Source organism: Homo sapiens, chromosome 2, assembly GCF_000001405.40.
Source record: "Homo sapiens chromosome 2, GRCh38.p14 Primary Assembly".
Taxonomy (NCBI): domain Eukaryota; kingdom Metazoa; phylum Chordata; class Mammalia; order Primates; family Hominidae; genus Homo; species Homo sapiens.
This window is the reverse complement of record NC_000002.12, coordinates 237,445,907-237,472,846: the sequence shown is the minus strand read 5'-3', so window position 1 is coordinate 237,472,846 and position 26,940 is coordinate 237,445,907. Positions and strand designations below refer to the sequence as shown.

The 26,940-nt window shown below is 48.0% G+C and overlaps 7 annotated features.

Moving 5' to 3' along the window:
• Positions 12,144–13,343: an enhancer, noted in NCBI's record as "MED14-independent group 3 enhancer chr2:238368147-238369346 (GRCh37/hg19 assembly coordinates)". NCBI's record gives its function as "activates an origin of replication core promoter dependent on BRD2, BRD4, P300/CBP and CDK7 cofactors, and independent of MED14, by STARR-seq in HCT116 cells {active_cell/tissue: HCT116}" and the evidence as "EXISTENCE:reporter gene assay evidence [ECO:0000049][PMID:35650434]".
• Positions 16,958–17,017: an enhancer, noted in NCBI's record as "active region_17366". NCBI's record gives its function as "activates an Ori minimal core promoter by ATAC-STARR-seq in GM12878 lymphoblastoid cells {active_cell/tissue: GM12878}" and the evidence as "EXISTENCE:reporter gene assay evidence [ECO:0000049][PMID:35858748]".
• Positions 20,560–21,237: an enhancer, noted in NCBI's record as "H3K4me1 hESC enhancer chr2:238360253-238360930 (GRCh37/hg19 assembly coordinates)". NCBI's record gives its function as "activates a minimal SCP1, AML or CMV promoter by ChIP-STARR-seq in naive H9 embryonic stem cells {active_cell/tissue: H9 hESC(naive)}" and the evidence as "EXISTENCE:reporter gene assay evidence [ECO:0000049][PMID:30033119]".
• Positions 21,238–21,913: an enhancer, noted in NCBI's record as "H3K4me1 hESC enhancer chr2:238359577-238360252 (GRCh37/hg19 assembly coordinates)". NCBI's record gives its function as "activates a minimal SCP1, AML or CMV promoter by ChIP-STARR-seq in naive H9 embryonic stem cells {active_cell/tissue: H9 hESC(naive)}" and the evidence as "EXISTENCE:reporter gene assay evidence [ECO:0000049][PMID:30033119]".
• Positions 23,943–24,443: an enhancer, noted in NCBI's record as "H3K4me1 hESC enhancer chr2:238357047-238357547 (GRCh37/hg19 assembly coordinates)". NCBI's record gives its function as "activates a minimal SCP1, AML or CMV promoter by ChIP-STARR-seq in naive H9 embryonic stem cells {active_cell/tissue: H9 hESC(naive)}" and the evidence as "EXISTENCE:reporter gene assay evidence [ECO:0000049][PMID:30033119]".
• Positions 24,444–24,944: an enhancer, noted in NCBI's record as "H3K4me1 hESC enhancer chr2:238356546-238357046 (GRCh37/hg19 assembly coordinates)". NCBI's record gives its function as "activates a minimal SCP1, AML or CMV promoter by ChIP-STARR-seq in naive H9 embryonic stem cells {active_cell/tissue: H9 hESC(naive)}" and the evidence as "EXISTENCE:reporter gene assay evidence [ECO:0000049][PMID:30033119]".
• Positions 26,143–26,678: an enhancer, noted in NCBI's record as "H3K4me1 hESC enhancer chr2:238354812-238355347 (GRCh37/hg19 assembly coordinates)". NCBI's record gives its function as "activates a minimal SCP1, AML or CMV promoter by ChIP-STARR-seq in naive H9 embryonic stem cells {active_cell/tissue: H9 hESC(naive)}" and the evidence as "EXISTENCE:reporter gene assay evidence [ECO:0000049][PMID:30033119]".

Genomic DNA, 26,940 nt, shown 5'->3' with positions numbered 1-26,940 from the left:
TTCTGCACACTGAGCCAAAACCACATGATGCTAATACGGCTCCCTGATATTGAGCCCTTCCACGGTGTGCAGCCCTGCACCCCACGACAACCCTGGGGGACAGGCACTGTTATTAACATCCCCATCTGATAGAAAAAAAGACTGCAAGGGAGGCTGAATGTGAGTTAAGTGGCTTTACAAAGGTCATTGGACAATGACGGTGGAGCCGTGGCTCCTGCTCAGGCCTCTCTGAGAGCAGACGTTGGCCTCTGTGCCTCTCTGCTTCTCCTAGAAGGCCACCAGGCAACTGGGGTCCCTGCAGTGGCCCTGGGGAAGAAATGGCTGAGTCCCAATTTGATGATGCGCCAGACCCTTGGGCAGAGCCACCCTGGCTGCTTCATGCACCAGGACAAGTTCCTCTCAAATACCCTTCCCTTCGAGACCCTCTTCTAACCACCACCATAGACCTGCCCCAGGCCCCTGTACCTCTGCCTAAAATGCGCCTCTAAGCAGTCCTAACAGTCTGCTGTTCAGGTGTGTCTGTGTCTGGAATGGGCCCCTGAACAGTCCCATGCTTACAATGAACCCCTGAATAGTGCCGTCCCTGGAATGCACCCATAAACAGTCCTGTTCCTGGAACGCACCCCTGAGCAGTCCTGTGCCTGGAACTCACCCCTGACAGTCCCATGCCTGTAATGAACTCCTGAACAGTGCTGTGCCTGTAATATACCCATAAACAGTCCCATGTCTGTAATGCACCCATAAATAGTCCTGTGCTTCTCTTCTCTCCTCTCTGGCCAAACGTCCACCTCACCCTGGGGACATCCCTGCAGCCCTAGCTCTGCTGTGTGGAGCTCTCAGTGCCGGGTCTCCCTCTCATCCCTCGGGTGGCTCCTTTGGCCTTGGAGTATAACAGACCATCCTCAGGAGCTGGCTTCAGGGCAATGGTGACAGGTCTGACCCCGCATTCAGTGCTTTCTCAGGGGGCTCATTCAGGAAGGGAGAGAAAAAGCATCGTCCCAAAGGGCCAATGTTTCAGGAGCCGATGACCCTGCAGGCCTCTGTGGCTCCAGCTGCTTCACTGGGCTCCTGGGAGCTGCTTCCTTCTGAGCCTGGGGACGTTCACCCAGGAGGCCTTAAAAGGCAGGTCTCCCCAAGCCAGCTAGGGTGGGGACTGCTTGTGCTACCGGCTTGGTCCCTCGGCCCTCTGATTCCCTCTACTGGCCAGAGCAGGTTACTGGGGCCGACCCTGCAAGCTGAGGGACCCAGAATCACAAACACACACACTCAAGACAAGAGCCATCCAGGGCCAGGCCTGCACACCAGCTTTGCAGCAGGGGGACTGTCCCTGTTTTGAACGTGTCCATCTACCCGGCTCTGCTCTGGAGCCCTCCCTGTTTCTATCTCGATCAGCTTGAGTGACTGGCGGGTGGTCGCATCTGACTTCCCATAGTGTCTGAGATGCGCATAATCACAGATTTCTTCTGAACAGACCTACGTGGCATAATTTAATGCTCTAATGTTTACGTCGTTTTGCTAAATGGCTTGCCATGGATTTGGGTATATGGTTTCAAGCCAATGGTCTTTGGAAGCTTGTAACGTCTATGCTTGATTTCTCAGGAAAAATGATTTCAGACGTCTGGATGCTGGAGTCAGCAATGGTTCTGCCAAAACATCTGAGTGTAAAATCCGGATGGAAGTTTGCTGGTCTGGGGAGCCCTCCGCCTGCATGGGCTTCCCAAGTCAGGTGGCATTAGCCCACCAGGTGCACCCATGCTCAGTGCAGAGCCCTGATAGGGCAGCCTGGTGCGTGAGCTCTGTCCTGGGGGAGGCTCAGCTGTAGGCACTCACCTTGCACTCACTCTCAGACACAGTTGGAAGCAAAGATCTGACATTGTTTAGAAACTGAACGGTAGCTTACCCGCTAAGAGGAGTTCATTCTAGGAAACCTAGAGAAGATGATAAAATCCCATAGCTACATGTCTTCTTTAAGGTACCATCTTGAGTGAAGCATTTTTAGTGTTATGAGTGTGTTGTTTAATTTGTCTCTTTTCCTTTGGTCCTCTGAATGTTGATCAAAGTGGAAGATTCTCTCCTTCTGGCCTTTCTAGGGATTTCCATCATTGTCTCAGTTGTATTGCTAAGGAGACTTATTGCTAGTGTGACCTTTCTTCCTCTCCTCTTTCCCTCCTTCCTTTCTCCTCTCTTCTCCTCTCTTCCCCATTTTTATGACAAGAATCAAACAGCATTCAAGTCATTGCCCCTTCCTCAACTATCCGGATAGCCAAAGCTGCAGCTGCAGTCAGCTGAGTGGGGTTACTTCCCATGAGAGCCTGCATTGCCAGGGGAACAGCTGGTAGCAAGGGTGCAGCCTCTTGCAGTGAAGGCAGTATGGACACCAGTGCAGATGCAGGCAAAGGTCACCCAGGTGGAAGTCAAGGGCCACCTGTGCCTGTGACTTGTGGCCCATTCTTCTTCCATCTGAACCAAGGTTGTATCAGCGTCATCAAGCCAGTTACTCCTGGGCTGGAGCTCTCTCTGTCCTGCTAGGAAGCAGGGAGGTGAGGTCCAACCGGGTTGAAGAAACTGGGATTTTATTCACCTATGCCCTGTCTGTCATTGACTGAGGCTGAGTGAGCTCCTGCAGTCAGAAAAGATGCCTGAGACAGAGTCTGGGTGTTACCACTCAATAGCCTGGGTCACCTGTAGGACGTGTAGGAGAAATGCAGTGCTGACAGCATCCGTTTGCTGCAGCTTCTCCATGTGCCTGGTGTCCCTGGGGCTGCTCCAGCCCCCTGGCCAGGGCCTCTCCTGGAATGTCTTGCCCTGTGTGTCAGGTGCCCTGCTCCCTATGATGAGAGCCCTACCCCTGATACCACTGACCTGTGAAAGGCAGGAACCTGCTGAGCTTTTTCTACTCCCTTCCCTGCTGCTCAAGGGTCGAGCCCCACCCTTTGTCCTCTCTCTAGCAGTGGTTGGGTTCAGGCCCACCTGTTGCGAATTTCTTGATTCTGATTTGTATCGGAGCTCTCACCGGATCTTCAAAGGATGGGTGATATGGTTTGGCTGTGTCCGCATCCAAACCTCATCTTGAATTGTAGTTCCCATAATCCTCACATGTTGTGGGAGGAACCAGGTGGAGATAATTGAATCATGGGGGCAGTTTCCCCTATCCTGTTCTCGTGATAGTAAGTTAGTTCTCACGAGAGCTGATGGTTTCATAAGGGCCTTCCCCCACCCCGCCCCCACCCCGCCTTCGCTCAGCACTTCTGCTTGCTGCTGCCATGGGAAGAGGGACATGTTTGCTTCCCCTTCTGCCATGATTGTAAGTTTCCTGAGACCTCCCCAGCCATGCTGAACTGTGAGTCAATTAAACCTCTTTCCTATATAAAGTACCCAGTCTCCAGTATGTTATTAGCAGCGTGATAACAGACTAATAGAATGGGAGATAAGTTAAACATTTAGTTCAAATTATTTTGTTTTCTTAAAAATGAATGTTTTATGACGTTAGGGGTTACTATATAGCTACAGTAATCAAAACTGCGAGGTACTGGTAGAGGGGTAAACATGTAGTTTCATGGAATAACATAGAAAACCCAGAAACAGACCTACACAAATATGCCCAACTAATACTTAACAAGGGTACAAGGGCAATCTGATGGAGGAAGCGCTGCCTTTTAAACAAATGGTGTTGGAGAGGGGCAAAAATATAAACCTCAACTTCAGCCTCACACATTATATAAAATTAACCCCAAGTGGATTACAGACTTGCATTTAAGCTGTGAAAGCACTAAACTTTTAGGGAAAAAAATAGGAGAAAATATTTTGGACCAAGGGCTAGGTGAAGAGGTAGTTGCCTGACTTGATACCACAGGCACAATTAAAAAGGCACAATCCATAAATGGATGAATTGGACATCAAAACTCACAGGTCTTGCTCTGTGAAAGACTCTGTTATAAGGCTGAAAAGCAAAGCCACACCTTGGGAGAACATATTTGCAACCCACATATCCAACAAAAGATTAGTATCTGGAATATATAAAGAACTCTTAAAATTCAACAGTAAAAAAATCCATCCTGGCTAACACAGTGAAACCCCGTCTCTACTAAAAATACAAAAAAATTAGCCGGGCATGGTGGCAGGCGCCTGTAGTCCCAGCTACTGGGGAGGCTGAGGCAGGAGAATGGCATGAACCCAGGAGGCGGAGCTTGCAGTGAGCCGAGATTGCGCCACTGCACTCCAGAGCCTGGGCGACAGAGCAAGACTCTGTTTCAAAAAAAAAAAAAAAAAAAAAAAAAAAAATCCAAACAATTCCATTAGAAAACGGGCTAAGGACATGAACAGGTATTTCATCAAAGATAATACACAGTTAGCAAATAAGCTCATGAAAAAATGGTCAACACCATTAGCTATTAGGCAGAAGCAACCTGAAACCACAATGAGCTATCACTATGTACCCATAAAAATGGCTAAAATAAAAAATAGTGTGAACACCAAACGTTGGCGAGGATGTAGAGAACCTGGATCACTTATACATTGCTGATATAAATGTAGGATGGTACAGCTCGTCTGGAAAAGAGTACAGCAGTTTCTTACAAAAGTAAACATGCCCTCACCATACGGCCCAGCAATCACACTATTGGGTATTTATTCCAAAAATTCAAAAACTTAGCATTCACACAGAAACTTGTATATAAATGTTCATAGAAGCTTTATTTATATTAATACTAGCCCCCAATGGAAACAACTCAAACGTCCTTCAGCAGGTGAAAGGTTAAACAAACTTTGGTACATCTGTATTTCAAAATACTACTCAGCAATGAAAAGGAAAAGGCCATGGATGCATTCAACAGGTTGGATGGATCTCAGGGGAGTTATGCTGAGTGAAAAAAGGCAGTCTCAAAAAGTCATCTGTTGCATGATTCCATCCATGCAGCATTCTTGTAGTGAAAAATTTATAGAGGTGCAAAATAACAGACTAGCGGTTGCCAAGGGTTAGGGACAGGGAAAGAGGGAGTAGCTGTGGCTATAAGAGAGTAGCATGAGGGATCCTTGTGACAGACCATTCTGTATCTTGACTGTGGTGGTGTCACAAGAATGTACATGTGACAAAATTATATAGAACTAAATACACACACACAAACATACCATGAGCACACGTAAAACTGGTGAAATCCAAACAAGGTCCATGGTCCCTATCAAGATCAATTTTTTGATTGTGACATCGTGCTGCAGTTATGCAAGATGTTGCCATGGAGGAAACCAAGTAAAGGCTATATAAGGTCTCTCTGTATTATTTCTTACAACTGCATGTGCATCTTCAAGTATCTCAAAGTACAAAGTTTAAAAATGGGTTATAAGAGAAATGAAGCCGTGTACACAAATGTTCATATCATAATTGCCCACAGATGGAAACCATGCAGACATCTGTCAATAGGGTGACTAAGTAAACAAATTATGGTATATTCAGACAATGGGATACTACGCTGCAATAAAAAGGAGTAAACTGAAGATTCACAGAGCACCTTGGGTGGATCTCATAGACACTATTCTGAGTGAAAGAAGCCAGACACAGAAGAGTACATAGAATCTGGTTCCATTTATATGAAACTCTAGAGGAGACCAATCTAATTTACAGTTTAGATAGGTAGTTGTCTGCAGCTGGAGGTGGGAGTTTGACAAAGAAAGGGCACGAGGGGACCTTTTTGGGTGATGGAAATGTTCTCTATCTTCAGGGAGGTGGTGGGTACCTGATTTCTTTTTTTTTTGTTTTTTTTTTTTTTTGAGATGAAGTCTTGCTCTGTTTCCCAGGCTGGAGTGCACTGGCGTGATCTTGGCTCACTTCAACCTCCGCCCCCTGGGTTCAAGTGATTCTCCTGCCTCAGTCTCCTGAGTAGCTGGGATTACAGGTGCGTACCACCACACCTGGCTAATTTTTGTATTTTTAGTAGAGACAGGGTTTCACCATGTTGGTCAGGCTGGTCTCAAACTCCTGACCTCGTGATCCGCCCGCCTCGGCCTTCCAAAGTACTGGGATTACAGGCGTGAGCAACTGTACCTGGCCAGGACCATGTTTTTATGCATTTGTTGAAACTCATCAAAATGTATACTTCATGTACATAGGTGTACATATTTGTCAAAATTCATTGAAATGTATGTTTAAAATGAGTGCAGTTTTTGGATACAAATTATATCTGATTAAAAAGAATAGGTTATCCAAAATTCAAGCAGAAGGTTTTTGGCCCTGTTGCTAGCCCTGGTTACAAATGTCAGTGTTAGAACATAGTTTCCCATGTTCCATTGACGACTGGATGAGATTTATCTCTTCAAAGATTTCTCTGTGTTTTGTAGATAAGTTAACTCATCCCAGCTGGGCCCTAACAAGCCCATCCACTGTGTCTCATGTGGTTAATGATCTATTTAAAAGTGTCCACGGGGAAGAGACTTTTGGCACTGGAATTATATACATCAGTTTTTTGAGGTTAGGCCCTATTCTTGTTTATGTCTCAACTCAAGCGGAGTTCCTTTAGGATGAAATCAAGATGTAATTTAGATGATGTTTTACTAAAGAGTAGCTTGCTGTGGCGGCTATGGCGTGCCCCGCTTGGATCTCCCTCCAAGAAAGAACTTGCTGGAAAGCTGGAGGAGTGTGTTAGCCAGTGTAACTGCCGGAGGGGTTCTTCCTGTTCCCTGCACAAAGAAAGACGATGGCATCGTAGCAAAGAAGGAGTTTAATAGACACGAGGCCGGCCACACTATGTGGGAGACGGAGTTAGTACTCAAATCATTCTCCTCCAAAGCTCCTAGGTTAAGGGTGTTCAAAGGCAGTTTGGGGGAAGGGGGCGGAGGTGGCCAGGGTTGCTGCTGATCGGTTGGGGTGGCGATGAAATCAGAGGGGTTGAAGCTGCCCTCCTGTGTGCTGCATTGCTTCCGGGTGGGGCCACGGGAGTGGGGTTTGGGGGTCCAGGTGGAGCCAGGGGTATCAGACATGAAAAAAAAAACACCAAACCCTGAAAAGGTATCTCCAAAGGCCAATCTACAATACAATCTGCAGGAGTAATTGCGGAAGTTGCATATCCTATAACCTCCTGAATAATTGCTCGCCATTCTGAGTAACATGATGAAATCTTGTGCCATACAGCTCCACCCCACTGTGGATGTGAATCATCTCCTTGTCCAGCACATCCAGCCTGTGTGTGCTACCCCCGACCCGTGACTCAGTTGGTAGCCATCTACGTTATCAGATCGACTATTGCTGTGTCGCAGTGCTTGTAAACCCCATTTTACTTAATAATGGCCCCAAAGCAAGAGTAGTGATGGCGGCCTGTTTTTATAATTGTTCTATTTTATTATTAGTTATTGCTGTTAATCTCATATTGTTCCTAATTTATAAATTAAACTTTATCATAGGTATGTATATATAGGAAAAAAACATAGTATGTATAAGGTTTGGTACTATCTGCGATTTCAGACATCCACTGGCGTCTTGGAATGTACCCCCCTTGGATAAAGAGGTCTACTCTATTTCAAATAGAGGACGCGATACAGAGAGGCATTTCCACAGGTGGTGGAAAGAGATGAGAAGCTAAATGCAGACAGAACAGGCAATGAAGACAATAGCAAGAACAGGAAGTTCCTCGCTTCTCAGGCCTGGAGGGATAAAGCAGGAGAAGATGCAGTAGAAGATGCAGTAGAATCCAGGACCTGGGGCTGCCTGGAGGAAGTTGGAGTCATTGCAGGCATGTCTGGGGGCAGCTAGAACTCCAGAGGGGTGCATCAGGGGAGCTGGAGCTATGGGGGAGATGCAGCCACTGCCTCAAGTGCTACCTAAGCAGAGAGGCACACACACACACGCACACACACACACACCACACACACACACCACACACACACCTCACACCCCCCCACACCCCCGCACACACCACACACAACCACACACACACACCACACACACCTCACACACCCCCCACACATACCCCACTCACACACCACACACACCACACACACACCACACACACACACCACACACACACCACACACACACACCACACACACACCACACACACGCCACACACACGCCACACACACACCACACACACCACACACACACACCACACACACCACACACACACCCCAGACACACACACCCCACACACACACACCACACACACAGACAGAGAGACAGAGAGAGAAACACCCCGACCTTCTCCCTGCCTGTCCCCCTCCAGTCTTCCACCAGTGCCTGCCCTGTCTAAACTTACCGAGAAGCTAGGAGACAGTGGGGCCTGGGAACCGTATTTTCCTTCAGTGCAGAGCAGAAGAAGGAAAGGTCAGGATATGAATCTGAAAGAAAACAGGGAAACGACACAGGTGCTTTTTCCAAAACTTCATTTCTGTGAATTCACTAAAAATATCATTAGGATTCCAGCCAGGTGGCTGGATGGATAGGTGGAGAGATGGATTGAAACGTGATAAAGGAAATGTGCAGTGAAATATTAATGGCAGAATCCTGATGATGAGATTCTTGCAATTTTGCTGTATGGTTGGGCATTTTCATAATAAAATATTGTTTAAAATAAATGTAGGTAGAATTTTTATCTTTCAATGGAAAGAGACAGGCAAGCCTCTGGCATAGGCACTTCTTGAGGGAGCACAGTTGTACAGCCTTTTCTTTCTCTCTCTCTCTATATATATATGTAATACTTTAAGTTTTAGGGTACATGCGCACAATGCACAATGTGCAGGTTTTTTACATATGTATACATGTGCCATGTTGGTGTGCTGCACCCATTAACTCGTCATTTACATTAGGTATATCTTTTAATGCTACCCCTCCCCACTCCCCCCACCCTACAACAGGCCCCAGTGTGTGATGTTCCTCTTCCTGTGTCCAAGTGTTCTCATTGTTCAATTCCCACCTATGAGTGAGAACATGCGGTGTTTGGTTTTTTGTCCTTGCGATAGTTTGCTGAGAATGATGGTTTCCACCTTCATCCACGTCCCCACAAAGACATGAACTCATCATTTTTTATGGCTGCATAGTATTCCATGGTGTATATGTGCCACATTTTCTTAATCCAGTCTATCGTTGGACATTTGGGTTGGTTCCAAGTCTTTGCTATTGTGAGTAGTGCCACAATAAACATATGTGTGCATGTGTCTTTATAGCAGCATGATTTATATTCCTTTGGGTATATACCCAGTAATGGGATGGCTGGGTCAAATGGTATTTCTAGTTCTAGCTCCCTGAGGAATTGCCACACTGTCTTCCACAATGGTTGAACTAGTTTACAGTCCCACCAACAGTGTAAAAGTGTTCCTATTTCTCCACATCCTCTCCAGCACCTGTTGTTTCCTGACTTTTTAATGATCGCCATTCTAACTGGTGTGAGATGAAATCTCATTGTGGTTTTGATTTGCATTTCTCTGATGGCCAGTGATGATGAGCATTTTTTCATGTGTCTGTTGCCTGCTTAAATGTCTTCTTTTGAGAAGTGTCTGTTCATATCCTTATGATAAGCCCACTTTTTGATGGGGTTGTTTGTTTTTTTCTTGTAAATTTCTTTCAGTTCTTTGTAGATTCTGGATATTAGCTCTTTGTCAGATGAGTAGATTGCAAAATTTTTCTCCCATTCTGTAGGTTGCCTGTTCACTCTGATGGTAGTTTCTTTTACTGTGCAGAAGCTCTTTAGTTTAATTAGATCCCATTTGTCAATTTTGTCTTTTGTTGCCATTGCTTTTGGTGTTTTAGACATGAAGTCCTTGCCCATGCCTATGTCCTGAATGGTAATGCCTAGGTTTTCTTCTAGGGTTTTTATGGTTTTAGGTCTAACATTTAAGTCTTTAATCCATCTTGAATTAATTTTTGTATGAGGTGTAAGGAAGGGATCCAGTTTCAGCTTTCTACATATGGCTAGCCAGTTTTCCCAGCACCATTTGTTAAATAGGGAATCCTTTCCCCATTTCTTGTTTTTGTCAGGTTTGTCAAAGATCAGATGGTTGTAGATGTGTGGTATTATTTCTGAGGGCTCTATTCTGTTCCATTGGTCTATATCTCTGTTTTGGTACAAGTACCATGCTGTTTTGGTTACTGTAGCCTTGTAGTATAGTTTGAAGTCAGGTAGCGTGATGCCTCCAGCTTTGTTCTTTTGGCTTAGGACTGACTTGGCAATGTGGGCTCTTTTTTGGTTCCATATGAACTTTAAAGTAGTTTTTTTCCAATTCTGTGAAGAAAGTCATTGGTAGCTTGATGGGGATGGCATTGAATCTATAAATTACCTTGGGCAGTATGGCCATTTTCATGATATTGATTCTTCCTATCCATGAGCATGTAATGTTCTTCCATTTGTTTGTATCCTCTTTTATTTCATTAAGCAGTGGTTTGTAGTTCTCTTGAAGAGGTCCTTCACATCCCTTGTAAGTTGAATTCCTAGGTATTTTATTCTCTTTGAAGCAATTTTGAATGGGAGCTCAGTCATGATTTGGCTCTCTGTCTGTTATTGGTTCATAAGAATGCTTGTGATTTTTGCACATTGATTTTGTATCCTGAGACTGCTGAAGTTGCTTATCAGCTTAAGGAGATTTTGGGCTGAGACGATGGGGTTTTCTAGATATACAATCATGTCATCTGCAAACAGGGACAATTTGATTTCCTCTTTTCCTAACTGAATACCCTTTATTTCTTTCTCCTGCCTGATTGCCCTGGCCAGAACTTCCAACACTATGTTGAATAGGAGTGGTGAGAGAGGGCATCCTTGTCTTGTGCCAGTTTTCAAAGGGAAGGCTTCCAGTTTTTGCCCATTCGGTATGATATTGGCTGTGGGTTTGTCATAAATAGCTCTTATTATTTTGAACTACGTCCCATCAATACCTAATTTATTAAGAGTTTTTAGCATGAAGGACTGCTGAATTTTGTTGAAGGCCTTTTCTGCATCTATTGAGATAATCATGTGGTTTTTGTCTTTGGTTCTATTTATATGCTGGATTATGTTTATTGATTTGCGTATGTGGAACCAGCGTTGCATCCCAGGGATGAAGCCCACTTGATCATGGTGGATAAGCTTTTTGATGTGCTGCTGGATTCAGTTTGCCAGTATTTTATTGAGGATTTTTGCATCAATGTTCATCAAGGATATTGGTCTAAAATTCTCTTTTTTTGTTGTGTCTCTGCCAGGCTTTGGTATCAGGATGATGCTCGCCTCATAAAATGAGTTATCTTTCTCCTTGCCAAGAAAACAGGGGTAGTGGAACTCCCAGGGTCTGCAGTATTGGTGGTCTGCCTTCCATCTTGGTGGGAACATAGGTTGCGTGCCCATGGGCTGGCTTCAGTCCAGGACGCGATATGTGTGGCTCACCTACTGTTTTACAACTTTTGAGTTAGGTACTCGCATGTCAAAATCTGAAAAATTCTCATAAGAAGACAGATATCCAGCTTTTCTTTGAAAACAAAAGATTGGACAACATCAGGCCTGCATGTCTTCATTGTGACAGCTGCGTGCAGCTGAGCGAGTTGAGCACACCCTTTCTAGTTCACCACTGCCTCCACCGCTCCCTATTGTATCACACCCGGCCCACATTCTTCATTTAGATTTCCTGTGTGGTCCCTGAAAACATTTGAATTTAGAACCCTAGATCCATGAGACCACTTCCATTTATAATGAGCACACAACTATCCCTTCAAGTCGATGCTTCCTAAGTATGCTAGCATTCCTAACTATCCCTTCAAGGCGATGCTTCATGAGTTCATCCATGAACTCTCTTTTGGGACTTGCCATATCCATGTGCTAACTCTACTTAGTTAAAACTTTAAAAACGGATTCTCTTAGAGTCAAGGCCTATTTTTCCTGTTTCCTAAGTAGTAATTCCCATAAGACCAAGAGTTTGGTGTGCTTAATAGGTTTTTTTCCCTAACACAAAACAAAACCTGCTTGCAGCTAAACCCTCAGAGATCATCTCTTGCACTCTGGTGACACATGCACCTCCTCCCAGGCAACACGATTTGTGTGCCCAGGAAGACTGACCCTGTCTTATTAGTGTGGCCATCCCTCTCCCCAGATGGCCTTGCCTGAGTTACACTTTACTGATCCTAGGCCATCTATGCTTCTGCTGTGCTAGGCTGCCTTTCTTGTGAATCTCTGAGCCTCAGAGCATGTAGAGTGGCCTCTGAAGTCCCCACAACTCCAAGAGCTGCCTGGTTCTTGCCCTTCCTGAGTCCTGGTTCTTCGACGCTTCCTTGGATTCAGGACATCCTCAGTTTGCTTAAGTTTGCTCAAGTTCATTTCTGTTATTTGTACACAGAAACCTTTAACAAGTTCAAGGTATAAGTCGTTCATCATGGATGGGGTGTGTGGTGGGAGGTAGGAACACGGCTGGAGGGGTAGACAGAGGCTAGGGATGAGAGGGTCTTCTGTGTCACACTTAAGGATTTGATGGTCAGTGTCATTGACAGAGTATTAATAATTCCCTCTCTCAAGAAACCAATAACTTGTAGGAATCATCGTGTTATGCCAACAATGGAAATAGGAATAAGAACAACAGCAGCAACAATAACAACACCCACATTTAGCAAGCATGTACCATGAGTCCGGCACACACATCATCTCATTTAATGGTCATAAGAACACCTTGAGGAAGCTACACTGACTCTGGCTGTTTCATGGGTGAGAAAAATGATATTCAGAGAAGTTAAGCTACACGAGTAATGCCCCACAGCTATAAGTGATGGAGTCAGTGCCCAACCCCAGGTCCATTTGACACCGATGTCCACACTCTTCATGACTTGCTGTTTGCAGGCATTTGATGCTGAGTCATTTCCTGTCTTTTGGTTAGTGAATCCCAGTCCCTTCCACCTTCACTTATAGGTCAAGTGGCTTTGTTATTCTTGGATTTCCCTCTGGGTTCTCCACCTTTGCTCTAATATAGCATCCTGAATTAGGCACAGTGTTGTGAAAAGGGCATACAAACTGACTTGACCAATGTGGCCAATTTTGGCTCCCACAAAGATGCTGTGTGTTCTCCTTCTTCACTAGGTGGGAACCAGCAGTTACTCAAGCAGCCTCCACCCTTCAGAGGAATGAATTCCTCTCCATTCCGGCCAACACCACAGAATACTCTGGAAACAAGATGAGAGGCTGGTGTTCTGATGTTACTAAGCCCTCGTTTTCTGGCTCAGTAATGCCCACTGACTTTTAGAGCTGGAAGGGCCCTGTACATGATGTATTCTCCAAACTCATCCTAGAGCAAGCAAGAAGGTGGGTTGGTCCTGCTGTCCTCCACGGGAGGCTGTCCCAGTTTACACTCCCACCAACAGAGTATGGGAATCTCTGCATATGCTGCGTTCGTCCCACAGAGGAAATAGATGAGGGAGCAGAGACACTTAAGGCCAACCAAATAGTCATCCACTCCTCTAACTTCCAAGCCTTCCTTGTCGTCAAGTGGGGATCACATGGTCATTCTGGTCAATGGAATGTGAGTGGAAGTGATATGTCACTTCTGGACAGAGGCATTTGAAAGTCATTGTACTTCCTCCAGCTCTCTCTCTTTGCCTCTGCTATGATGCCTTTGGAGACCACAGGATCCAAATGATGCTAGCTGTAAGATGGAGGAGGCCACTGGCCTGCCCAGAACTAACTTGAATGAGTATGGTAGCTGGTCTTCAAAGAGTGCCTCAATGAACCACATCTCTTGATATTCACAGCCTTGTATCATGCCCTCCTGTGTTGAATCTGAGCTGGTCCTCTGACTCCCTTGAAGCAATGGAATATGGCAAAAGGGGTGCTGTGCCAGTTATGGATCCAAGATGGATCCAAGCCCTAAGAAGACCTGGTAACTTTCACTTTTGGGAGCCTTAATCTGCCTCGTATGAAGTGTGGCTGAACTTACCAATTTGGAAGGGAGAAGCCCTGAGAGTACATGAAGAGAGAAGATGCTCAGCTATCTTAGTGTTCTTGCCATCTCTGTCAAGGTACCAAGTGTGTGAGTGAACCATCTTGGATTTTCCAGCCCAGCTGAGGTCTTAGGGGACTGCCTTACCAGCCAACATCCTGTGGAGCAGAAGAACCACAGAGCAGAACCTGCCTAACCCACAGAATCATGAGACATAATAGAATGGTGGTTGTTTTGTCCCAGTAAATCTTAGAATGTTTTGCTTATAGCAATAGACAACCAATGCAGTGAGAGAGTAGCTGGTGACATCTTGGCTACTATGACTTGGCAGTTTGTTGGGGCTGTTAGTGTCTATTTCCTTGAGGTAGCAGGTGACTAGTGCATTATATCGATCAAGAGATAGCCTTGAGCTCAGGCAAAGGTATAAAGACTGGGAGAATGTGCAGACACAACAGTTGCTCTCCTCATTTCCTGATTGAGTAGAAAAGGAGACTGAGAGCAGAGAAGTGACAGTGACTTTGAGAGTCCCAGCCTGTGACCATGAGAGGATTTATGGTTTTTAATGAGGGCTGGGGACCCAGGAACAGGAGTAGGTCTGCTTGAGGTAAGAAACAAGAAAAAGAGGGCATTCGAGTTTTGGATTTAAGGTGCTGATGGGCTCTCAATAGGAAAGTAACCATCAGGTAGAGGGAATTTAACTTTGCTGCTCAGACAAGAGGCCAAGGCTGGATATAAGAGGGGAAGTGAGAGCTGACTCCATGAGAGAATGACACCCATGGAGAGGGTGGAGGGAAAGGGAGAAGACAGAGGGATAGTCATGGAGAATGCTTCCATGGAACTGGCACCTGGGGAGCTAGCAATCAGGGAGGGAGACCAAAGAAGAGCTGAGACAAAGAGATGATTCCTCAGAGCCTGGGGTCAGAATTTTACTTAGTGAGAGGGAGTCAGTGGTATCAAAGCCTGTGGTAGTGCTAAGAGGGGCACTGACAGCAGAACCCCAGACTCAAGCCAGAGGCGATGGTGAGCAAAAAGTATTAGATCTTCATCTGTCCATCTGTCTATCCCTTCATTTGTCCATTCATTCACCCATTCACCCATTTACCCATTCACCCATCCACCCATCCATCCACCCATTCACCCACCCACTCATTCACCCATTCACTCATCCACCCATCCAACCACCCAGCCACCCAGCCACCCATCCACCCATTCACCCACCCACTCATTCACCCATTCACTCATCCACCCATCCATCCACCCATCCAACCCATCCACCCATTCACCCACTCATCCGTCCATCTATCCATCCATCCATTCATATATCCATCCATCCATCCATCCATCCATATATCCACCCATCCATCCATCCATTCATCCATCCATCCATCCACCCACCCATCAATCCATCCATCCATCCATCCATCCATTCATCCATCCATCCATCCACCCACCCATCAATCCATCCAATAAATCCTTGTCAGAGCCTGCCATGGGCCAGGAATGGGAATCGTATTAGGGTGCAAAGTAGATGTGGTTCTGTCCTTTGTTGAGAACATTTAATGGTTCCCCTCAAACCCTAAGATGCTCAGATTTCATGCTAAGTTCCCTCCTGCATATGAAAGGCAACAGTAAAGATAATAACCACCATTTGTAGAGCACTTGTTTGGGACCAACTACCATTCCTTGTGTGTTATATACATTGTACAACTTTATCCCCCCCACAACAGCAACATAAGGCGGAGACTATTTGGAGGTGAGGTGACAGAGTTGAGAGGTGACTGAGGCCAAGACATGGTGAGCATCTGATCAGAGCATGAGGTGGCCTTGGGAGTCACACTCATATTGTGGGTCTCCAAAGCTGATGGCCACTGCCTCATGTTCCTGTGAGTGCCTTACACCATCACCAGGCCCTCCTCACTGCCATTCACTGACAGGAGAAAGGGGCTCCCTTGTCCTGATCTGGACATCAGAATTTAACTTCTTAGGGAAGCAAAGCTATAGATGATGTTGAGGGGAACTGGAAAGGTGAAAATGGTAGTACATTTCAGATACTTTATTGAAGAAAGAGACATCTATGGGTTAACTTTATGACCAATGCACATAGTTTCTATGGGAAAATGAGTTTCAAACTCCAAACGACTGACTTGAAAACACAGTCCTGGAACTCAGCCTGCGTATAAATCAGGGTCTGTCTGTAACTGTAAAAATTGTTTATTTTGAAAGTGGACCTAACTGGGCTTTCCTTTCCTCACTCTTGTTCTTTCTCTTACGTTTTTTCTTTTCGTTATGCTATGCAAAGATCCCCAGACTTCCTCTTCTAGCTAATTGGCAAAAACCACATTGTCCCCTAGCTGAGTATACATTTTTGTAAATACCCCCTAGAGGTTCATTTCATCATGATGGAAAATGTAATTCTGTTTTCCTAAGTGACGGGATGTGTTTATCCAGGGACTCCAAGTGGGCTCGGGTGCTGGGGCCAGATGGCTCCAGATGTCCTCAGTGTAACCTGAGGAGCTGAGCCCGAAGGACCTCCCTGAGCCATGTGATGTGCAGTGAGGGCCAGTGTAGACAGAGCTGTCCACATGGTCCACATGGTTCTGCTCCATGGAGGCCTGAGATGGTGTTGCAGGCGGGGGAGGGCTTGCTCCCGCTGGAGCGGTGGTGGGGCCCTCCCAGCCAGATGTGAGTCATGCCTATGTTTAGCATTCCACTCACCCAGGTGGGCCCGGTGCCACCCAACTGCTCTCCAGATTCTATGTCTCTATTTCCAGTGTCGGAGGGCTAGACCAGTCAGGGATTTGGTGGCATTTTCCAGCCAATCCTTCTGTACGTGTGACTCTTAGCAGGGTTGGCAATGGAAAGAAGGAAAATTAGCCATTTTGGGAACTGGTGACATTATGAGAGTGACATTTGTTTTATGGCTCTCAGGGCTCAGTAAGCCAGGGGCTGGAGTAGGGATGAGAAGTAGCTGTGCACTTGCCACCACCCCAACTCTTCTACAGGGACAGAGGTGACTGACTGGTCACGATGCTCTTTCTTCCCTGTGTGTGAACACAGCTTCAGAAAGCACCATGGTCAATTAGACACGTCTGTCTCTGAGGGGTGGTGAGGAAATCCCCATGGCCACGCACTGCGAATGTGCCATCCTGGGTTGATGGGTGTTGAGACATGATTTACTTATTGTACAGAATTTACTTATCTCTGCCTTCTTGGCAGCAGTTTGTTAGTATGGACAGAATATCTTAATTTGGGGCTCCTCAGAAGCAGACTGAGACAAGAATTTGCGTTCAAATTTATTTGGGAGGTGATCCCAGGAGGACCTGAAAGTGGTCCAGTGAGACAGGGTGTGCAAACAGGCAGGTGGCCACTGTGGCCTGCTAGGGCTCAGTCTCATTGTGGAACTCATGGGGACTGGGTAGAGCATGGCCCAGAGTCGTCCCTCCCTAGGGCTGAGGAAGCGGGAGTCCCCATCTCCAGCCTGTCACTGAGTGAGGCTCCTGTGGCTGAGTAGCACCCTGGTGCTTTTGTCCTGTCTGCCTGGGGGCCATGCATGCTTCTGTGTCCAGAGAGAGCTCTCAGACTGAGCTGCAGGGGAGCCGGTGGGAAGCTAGGGAGAGGAGTTCCGGGTTCTGGGTGGGACACAAGAGTGTCTGCTATGGAAGGCCATTCATGACAGTGTCATGAAGTGGAGAGAGCACCCACTCTGGACTGCAAGAACTGGTTCATACCCCTGCCTCGCTGTGCCACAGTGGACAAGCCACTCAACCTCTCTGGCAGCTGTAATCCCTGCCCTGTTACCTCAAGGGGCTGCTGTGAAAATGTCACCAAACCAAACTTGGGATCTGCTCACCCAGGGCAGTAAGGCCACATGTCCACACTGAGGTTTTGCAGTGGGAGAACAGAGGGCGTTTATTTGCAGGACACCAAGCAAGGAGAATCAGACAGCTCACACTTAAGACCCTATGTCCTCAATGGCTTACAAGCAAGGGCTTTTAAAGGCAGGGGTAAATTTCAGGAAAGCAGAAATTACAGGCAAAATTGTAAATCAATACATGGAGGTTGATATGGTTTGGCTGTGTCCCCACCCAAATCTCATCTTGAATTCTAGATCCCACAATTCCCACATGTTGTGGGAGGGACCTGGTGGGAGGTAATTGAATCATGGGGGTGGGTCTTTCCTGTGCTGTTCTCATGATAGTGAATAAGTCTCACGAGATCTGATGGTTTTATAAAGGGGAGTTTCCCTGCACAAGTTCTCTCTCTTTACCTGCCACCACCCATGTAAGACGTGGCTTTGCTCCTCCTTGCCTTCCACCATGATTGTGAGGCCTCCCAGCCATGTGGAACTGTGAGTCCATTAAACCTCTCTCCTTAATAAATTACTCGGTCTCAGGTATGTGTTTATTAGTAGTGTGAGAATGGACTAATACAGAGGTTATACATTGGTTTGCCCTAAAAAGATGAATATCTTGAAACCTGGGGGCTTACAGTTCCTATAGGTGCATTCAAAAACTCTCTCATTTGCAACTGGTTAAGGAAGTGAAGCTTTGCCTAAAACCTTGGGGTCAGCAGAAAGGAACATTATGATCTGGCCCGTGGTCATGACTTTCTCCAGGTCTCTGTGGACAGAGTTCAGTCCTCACCTCCCCTCTTATCTGAGGCTGCATGCCAGCAGATCGATTTTGTGGGGATTTGGGCTTCTGAAAAAATAACTCAGAGACCTATGTTAAGATGCTGTCTTGATAGGAATCATACACCTTGTGGCTCTAAGTTTCTTGGTTATTGTTTTAAGTTGTTGTTACCTTCTTGCTCATCAGGTTGCTTATTTACTTCTGAGGGCCAGCTAGGTGCCTGCAAATTCCCTTGAAGGAACTCAAGATTTTCTTTTATTTCCATGCTTGGAGACACCTGGCAGACCCCTAAGAGGTGTCCCTGCTCTGTCTCAAGAATGAAATGAAGTAATGTCTATGAAAATGCTTTGTTAATTTTAGAGATCTCTGTAAACGTCTGGGTGAAGATAAATTTTGGCTGCCTGTTTAACTCCAGGGAAATGCTAATTATGATCTCTTACTTCCCACCTGCCACACAGGTGGCACATGGCCCAGCCTGGCCCAGTGGAGTGTTCCCTCCTCCCGACTGCAGTGGTCAGCTCAAGAGGAGCACGTGACCCATGCAGGGCCAACCAGGCTCTCCCTTGGGATGGATATGTGGGTCCTGGGAGACAGAAGACCTCTGTCCTTGCTGTAGGAGGCTGTAAGTATGGGGTTGCTGGTGGTCACTGTGTCACACTAGGGAGGCCTCCCTGGAGAATAAATCAAGGAGAGCCATGCAGGGCTGACTGGCAGAGAGAAAGACAGAGAGAGTCAGAGAGAGAGAGAAAGAAAGAGTGAGAAAGAGAGAGAGAGAAAGAGAGAGAACCCTAGCACAACCTTCACTGGGTCCCTGGTCCAGCTGTCACCAAATTTGGCACCATTCTCGAACTGTCCTGCTGGGTGAGTCTTTTTGCTTTCATCCATTCGAGCTGGGGTTTCTGTGATTCATGGCGGGAACCCTGTTAACTGAGGATAGAGACATTTGGAAGTGATGGGGAGCCTGCTGCACAGGTGCTGGGTTATATTTGCTGCTATTGAGGGATCTTAAGGCAGCTACTGCCTGGCCTGCATCAGGTGTGGAGTGGCTAGGGGTCCCACATTGACCAGATTTGCTCCAGGCACAGTGGGGATGCCCTTTCAACTTGTTGGCCAGGATTCTCCCCTCCCACCCCATCCCTGAGGGGCCATATCTACTTGGCCCCTGACCTACCCTTGGGCAGGTTCCTCAAGGCCCTTCCACTTTCCCTGCAGGGCCTCAAGGTTACTCAGTCTTGCTGGTGTCTGTGATTCACTCCCAGTTTTGAGGAAGAACTAGTGCCTGCTGTTGACTTAACAGGCAGCCTCTCTCTGGGGATGCATTCTCAGCTTTGTCGTAGAATCTGGTTTTCTTAGATTTTCCTCCCCAAGTATCTCCAGTTGGGGAGGACAGTGAATGAGCAGCCCAGACACCAGGGGTCGGGCTCGGTGGGCTGGGTGAAATCTCTCCACTGTCTTGACATTCATCCATAACAAGCAAGTGAAATTTGCTTTCTATGACATAATCTATCACCATTTTACTTACCATCAAATAATGTTTTCAATGACTTTAGTCTGCCACCCTCAACTTGGAGTTTAGCAACATTCCAGAGCGACGGGCGAGGTTTAGCCTGTGACCTCTCACCCTTCCTAGTTATGCTGGGGTACAAGGACCCTAGTGCCACACGCAGGGCCCATGTGAAAGGGCTAAACTGGGGTGGGGTCCCCGTGCCCTGGACGGTGTGTCCTGCCTCTCACTCCCTGCTCGTGCCTTTCCTCTCTCTTCTCCTGCTGCCATCTGATGTGCCTTCCTTCCGTCTCCTCTCAGAGGACACACTCCCCTTGGGGCCGTCTCAGGCACCAGCATCTCCCTCAGAATGTCCTAGTTTTCCTAAGGAGCCCTTACCCACATTCCCTCCGCCGCTGTCACGGGCATTGAGCTGTGGCCTGGCCATCTTTGGGGCCCAAGTTCCCGGGGAAAGGAAGGATGCAAGGTGTTGAATGCACCTCTGTCCCTGCAGCACAGAGCAGCCTGCTTGGCACATACATAGTAAGTGCTCACTAAGTGAGGCTGAGCGCCACTCCCTACGGGCCACCTCCCTCTCTCCTTTCTCTGCGTGGGACTGGTTTTCCTTTGTGATCCGAGAGGAAGCAGTTTGAAAAGGCCTTAGGGGAGAGAACCTCCCCGAGCATGGCCAGCAGGAACTGGGATGCTCAGGGGGAGATGGAACCAGCCATGTGAACTTGCCATTAACTCTGGGGAAGAGGTGGGGGTGGTGCAGTCCAAGAGCCTTGAGTGGGCTGTGTTTGGCGTGATGGTTCCCAGCTGTTTTTCATTTTCGCAGGGGACTGAAGAGGAAATGGGTCTCAGCTGCAGCAGGAAGGGTCTTGCATTTCAAAAGTAAGGGAGACGCTGTCATTCCAGAGACAGATTCTGGATGGGGCCCAAAATGCAGAGATGCATCTTTAGGGCCATATGATGTGGCTCTGGAGAGAGGGGTCAGGAGCCCCAGGGGTGCCGGAAGGAGCATGGTGCCTTATCCTCCGGCGGGAGTGAAGGAAAGTCAGCTCCGTCTTTCTCCCCACATGCCTCCCCGACTGGACCAGCAGAGGGGGCCTGCGTGGTGAGAGGGTGGTGATAGCAGGACATGCTAGTTTGGGCAGAGGTTTGGCCGGTTCCTTTTTTTGTTATGGAGGGCTTGTGTGTGCCTCCAAGGAGCTGCAGCGGCCACAGCGGGACTGGATGATGCCAGAAGAAACAGCCGTGGACTTGCTAAGGGTTCATCCGGGGCCCAGGGGAGCTCAGATTTTCTTTTGCGATGCGTGCTGTAGGGCTGCGTGCATCCCCGCATAGCAGGGTGAGCTAAGCACTCCACAGGTTCCTCGTGTCATTTGCCACAGCTCTGTGCGCTGTGCACGAACTTTGACGCAAATTTGCCGAACTGATTTTTGACAAAGGTGCAAAAGTCATCTTGTCAACAAATGGCGACGGAGCTCATGGCCATCTGCCGGCAAAAGAATAAACAGGCAATCTTATACAACATTAACTCAACAGGGATCATGAACTCGAATGCCAGGCATAAAGCTGTGAAGTGCTTAGGAAAAGCACAGGAGAGAATCTTTGGGAACCAGGAGGAGGTGAAGAGTTCTTGGACTTGGAATCAGAAGCACAACCCATAAAGTGAAAAAGTGATAAAGTGGGCTTCATCAAAATTAACAGCTTTTGCTCTGGAAAGACACTGTTTAAAAAAAATGAAAAGAACAGCTTCAGAGAAGGAGAAAACATTTGCAGATGGAAGATCCGACAAAGGACTAGTAACCAGAACATGGAAAGAACTCTCCATGCAGAATGTCGGTGGAGTGACCTCCCTAGAGGGCTGGGATGCCAGGCACTGCCCCTTCCTCTAGAACATTCTGCAGTGAAGGAAACATTTGCCGGCCCTGTTCACGGTGGTGGCCACCAGCCACATGTGCCTCTCCTCCCTGGTCACTGGGATTCGTCGAAGGTGGGCATGCAGCGCAGGCTGGCCCCTTACAGCACCTCCTTTTGCTGCCCTGTGGCCTTGGCCTGAGACCCAGGGTGGGGAGGTCCGTGCCCACCTGGCTGGGCATCACCACCTCCCATGCAGCTTGTGTGCCAGGCCGGGCAGCCCGGCGCCTTGCACCATTGGCCTTACTGCTGTGCTGCTGTTGTGCGTAGTTGGGGTGGACGAGCTGAACTGAGGAAAGGGTGAGGAGTGTGTGGGTGTTGAAAAGGTACTCGGCTCCTCGTCTCTCAGATGTGGGCTTTATCCCTCCCTCTGCAGGATGCGGAACGGGCTTGCTGGCCAGTCAGTCAGCCCCTGACCCGTGATTACAGCCAGACACCCCCTGGGGTCTGTTCAACGGTCGTTTATGCTTTTTCCCAACACCATGATGCCTGCTTTAAGAAAATGTTTTCAGCAAAAATGTATTGAGGAAACAGGCAGTATGAAAACTGCCTGAATTTGTTGGGACTTGGGGACATGGAAAGATACCACGTTATCCGCTGGAGGTCAGAACTCAGATGGCCACCACCACATCACATTGTCACGTGGTACACAGTCATCATGCACCGTAGGCCTGGCTGGGGAGCTCCTGCCTCCCTGGGCCTGCCTTTCCCTTGCTGGTGCCTCAACATGGGAATTGGAGCTGTCCCCCTGGACCAGGGTTGAACCTTGTCCTTACTGCCCATGAGCCCTGAGGCCTCTTCTCACACTCAGAGTGATGGCTGCAAGCTGGTTCCACTTTCCCACCTCACCTTCTAGAACTTTCTGTGTCATTTCTCTAGTCAGCCCTCCCTGGCCTCAGCCTCTCCCTCTAAAATGCCAGCCCTCCCCTCACACTTCCTCTGCCCCTCCTACTTGATTTTGTCCTAGCTCTTCTCACTTTAACACAACAGGGTCTCCCTTATGTATCTGGATCCCTCTCTAGAGTGGAACCTCCCTGAGGGCAGGAGCCTTAGCCTGTCTCCTGTCTCCCAGGGCATCAGAGAGCAGCATCCAACACAGGGAAGCTTCTCAACACAGGCTTGGTGAATAAACGATCAAATGGAGTGCCGTGCATATGACACCATGCAGTCATTTTTGGCACAAGAAGAACCAGTTGGATCCATAGCAGAAAGCAGGCAGGACGATGTGTTCCCTTGGCTGGAAAGCTACAGAGCAGCCAGTGCTCTAGTGAGTGACACACCAGACTGGCAGGGTTTGCAGGATCTGGTGTCATTTATGCAAACAGCATCAACAGCAGCAGCAGAGATGGACAAAAACCGTTAATGGCCTTTTCAATAAACGAACAAGAAGACCCTTGGACCGCACTTCCTTCTGAGCTGACTTCTGTAAACACATGCAGGTCAAGCCCGATTCCCTGCTCCCAGTTGGGGCGTTTCAGCCTGGCTTCTGCCAAACAGGAAACACTTGGGCTTCCTGAAAATACTTTTCTTATCTTTGACAAAAGTGCTAACTTAGAGGAGGTTGATGTGGGCATTGGGCAGTTGGGGGAGCTGTCAAGGATTCCACGGAGGCCCCTGGCACACAGGGCCTCTCTCCAGGCTCAGGTGCTGGAGAAAGGAGAGGGCACAGCATGCTTCCTGGCTGGGTCTGAGGGAGGATGGAACCAACTCGGTCCTCCCGGGAGTGGGGAGGGGAAGGGAGCGCGGTTGGGGGAGGCACTTGGAGAGGGTGAGGCCGCAGATCAGACTTGCCCTCACCCTGCTGTGGTGGGCAGAGAAATAACAATAAACAGTTGAATAAATAAAACTTTCCACTCAAAATGGGCCACAGACATATGTTTTTCCACTTTTTTTTTTTTTAGAATGAAGATAAATCTCTCCATCTTGGCATTCTGAAGGGGAATTTTATTTTCCTTCTTTTCTAAGTGGTCTCTTCCAGCTTGGTTAAAAACCTGCTCAGATCAGGAAATATTAAGGACCGTGGGTTTGCTTGTGCTCAGAACCTTCCAGATGTGAGGGAGGGGCTGCCTGGGCCTGGGCCTTTGTAGAGAGATGGGTTGGAGTCACTGTGGCCCGGCTGCTGGGCTTCTGCCCTTCCTCTTCACCTGAATTCTAACACGTCGGAGAGTTGGGGGTTGCTGGTGATGGACGAAGCTGTGATGGGGGCCCTGAGCACCTGGACTCAGCTCCCCTTCTCATTTTCTCAAGCACTTTCCTGGGTTGGCCTGGAAATACTTTACTAAAATGGCCCCTCTGCCAGCCCCGAGAGATCCATGTTTGCACCCTGTCTTCGAAATACTTTCTGGATTAGATGTGGGTCTTAAGCCCCTTGTCTCAGCACCCTCCTTGAGGAAGGACACCTGAAGGTCACAGCCTTAGGTCTCCAGCCCTCCGAGGAACTGGGACATGGCCTGGCAAGGAGCAGCTTGGGGTGCTCCCGCCTTTGGTGATGTCGCTCCATGAGCCCAGCGTGCTGTCCTCTGGGTCCTGCCCAGTCTTGAACCCCTCACTCAGCTTCAATCCCTGCCCAGGCAAATGGCACTGGGGACAGTGACTCAGAAGTTTCAGGTAACAGGACAACTGGCTGTCCTCAGGGGAGGGGTGGGCCCCTGGAGGGCAGGGAGAGTGAACGTCTTCTGGAGCTGGGGTGCAGGGGAGGACTGAGGCGTCCACCTCTGCCATGCCTGTGAGAGTGCAGGAGAGGTCGAGGGCTTGGGGTCTGATTCTTGTCACTTTCGAAGGGCAAGGATCTTGATCTATTTTGTCTCAGGCTGCGTCCTCAGGGCTGAGAACAGCTCAGGACTCATGGAATGAATGGGCAAACAATGAAAGTCCCAGCACCTCTAGTTCCAAAGTCTGGACTAAAAGAAAGCTGTGTGGATTACAGAAAAACCTTTGGAATCTCCAGATGTGGCTCAGATTTGGGCATTACTTCCTAGTGAGTTGTTGGATTCCAGGCCAATCTCTTGACTTTTCCAGCCTCAACTGCTTTATTGGAAAACGTGGGGACAGGCGGTGGAGCAAACGCTGTGGAAGGAGTGGCTGCCGGAGAGCATGGAAAACAGCCTGATGGGTTGGATGGGTTGCTTTTCACTGGGGAAGCCCTAGCTGGGGTATTTATTACAAGAGCAGGTTCCTTGCACATCATCCTCGAATTACCCAGGCCGCTGCTGTTTCTCCCTCTTTAAAAAACACTTGTTTCTTGGTGAGAAAGATGGTGTACACATGCCGCTGCTAGCAGAGCCTGGGAAGCAGCGTTTCTGGGAAAAATCTGAGAGGTCCGCAAAACCCACCTGAGGCAAGAGAGGCAAGAGCAGTGAAGGACCAGAGAGGCCTCGGAGCATCGCAGACAAGGTCTAGGGGAACCCTGGCCTCTACCAAATGCTGAAAATTAAACCAGCCACACGAGAGCGTCAGTGGTCCCCAGCATGGGAGCATCTTCTTGTTCTCATTGATTGGTAACCTGGTTCCTTCATTTTCATTTCAAAGGCTATTTTCATTTCCAGAAATGGGCTGTCTCCCCTCTGGAATAATGAATACACTGAAGTGTTAGGAAAAGGTCTTTGAATTTTGTTATAGTTACTAGCACTTGTATTTGAATTTTTTTGTTACTTGTTCATCAACTGAAATTAACTGTTCATCAAAACCATAATGTAATGCTGTCTTCATAGTAAGCCTTCTCGGGCTGTTTCTGATGACAACGGTTTTGGTTTTTCCTAATTAATCTGTTCCAAATATTTGTCTTTATATTTTGCTCTAGAGCGAAGAGGGCTGCTATGGTCAGAATGTTTGTGTTCCCCCAAATTCTTGTGTTGAAATTCTAACTCCCAAGGCGATGGTATAGGAGGTGGGGTCTTTGGGAAGGGGATTAGGTCATGAGGGCAGAACCCTCATGAATGGGATGAGTGTCCTTATGAAATGGGAGCTTGTTCATCCCTTCCACCACGTGAGGACACAGCGAGGAGGCGCCATCTATAAACCAGAGCGCGGGCCCTCACCACACCCCAGGTGCTGGTGTCTTGATCTTGGATTTCCAGCCCCAAGAACTGGGATGCACGGATGTCTGTGGTTTATGGGCCACCCAATTTATGGCATTTTGTTAGAACAGCCTGAAATAAGGGCTCTGTTTGTACAACACTATAAAGTGAAAGCAACTTGATAGCTGGGTTGAATACTCCTTGGTGTCTTTGGCAATTAATGTGCATTGATGTTAAACTTTCATCTACAAAAGTTGAATTCTACATTGTTAGCAAAAAAGATGGTTGCTTGACTCCATATTAAATCTCTTTGTCCCGCCTCTCTGATTAGGAAATGTTTTTATTTAGAAAGCCTAACACAGGCATAAAAATCACACCAGGACCGTTCCTCCTCCAACAGCAGACTCTGGCTGGGGGACTTCCCTTCTTGGAACTGCGCTGGAATCTGAGGCTCCTCCAACCAGGTCCTCAGGACTGGGAGTTGCTCAATATGTGGGAAAAATGCAGTTTTCTTCTCAAAATACGTGATCCACATGGCGGTCACCTGTCAGCATTCACTGAAGCCATGGGGAGGGCAGGACTGGAGTCAGCGCTGGGGCCGACCAGGCTCTCTCCGTCCTGCTCTGTCACTCTCCCTGTGCTAGTTTATCCCGCGAAGGCGCCACGCTCCCTGGCTTTCAAGCCTTTGCAGTGCGAGGCCCTCCCAGGAACCCCACCGGGGCAGGGATGGCGATGCCCCAGGCCATGCGGGAGGGGTCAGGCAAGGCCACGTTCCACAGGAAGCCTGGTGCCCAGAGAGCTGCCCGGCAAGGTGGGGCTAGCGGGAGCTGCCGCAGCTGGTAGGAACCCGGAAACCAGGCCCAAGGAGAGTGCCAGCCAATTCTCACCCAGCCATACCTGCCTGCTATGGGGCCATTGGGCCTACCCAGGTCGAGAGGGTTTTGTAAGCCCACCCACCCCTCAGGAGCTCTTTTCTTCATCGGGCACCTGAGTCAGCGCTGCCCACGACAAGCCTGGGTGGGAG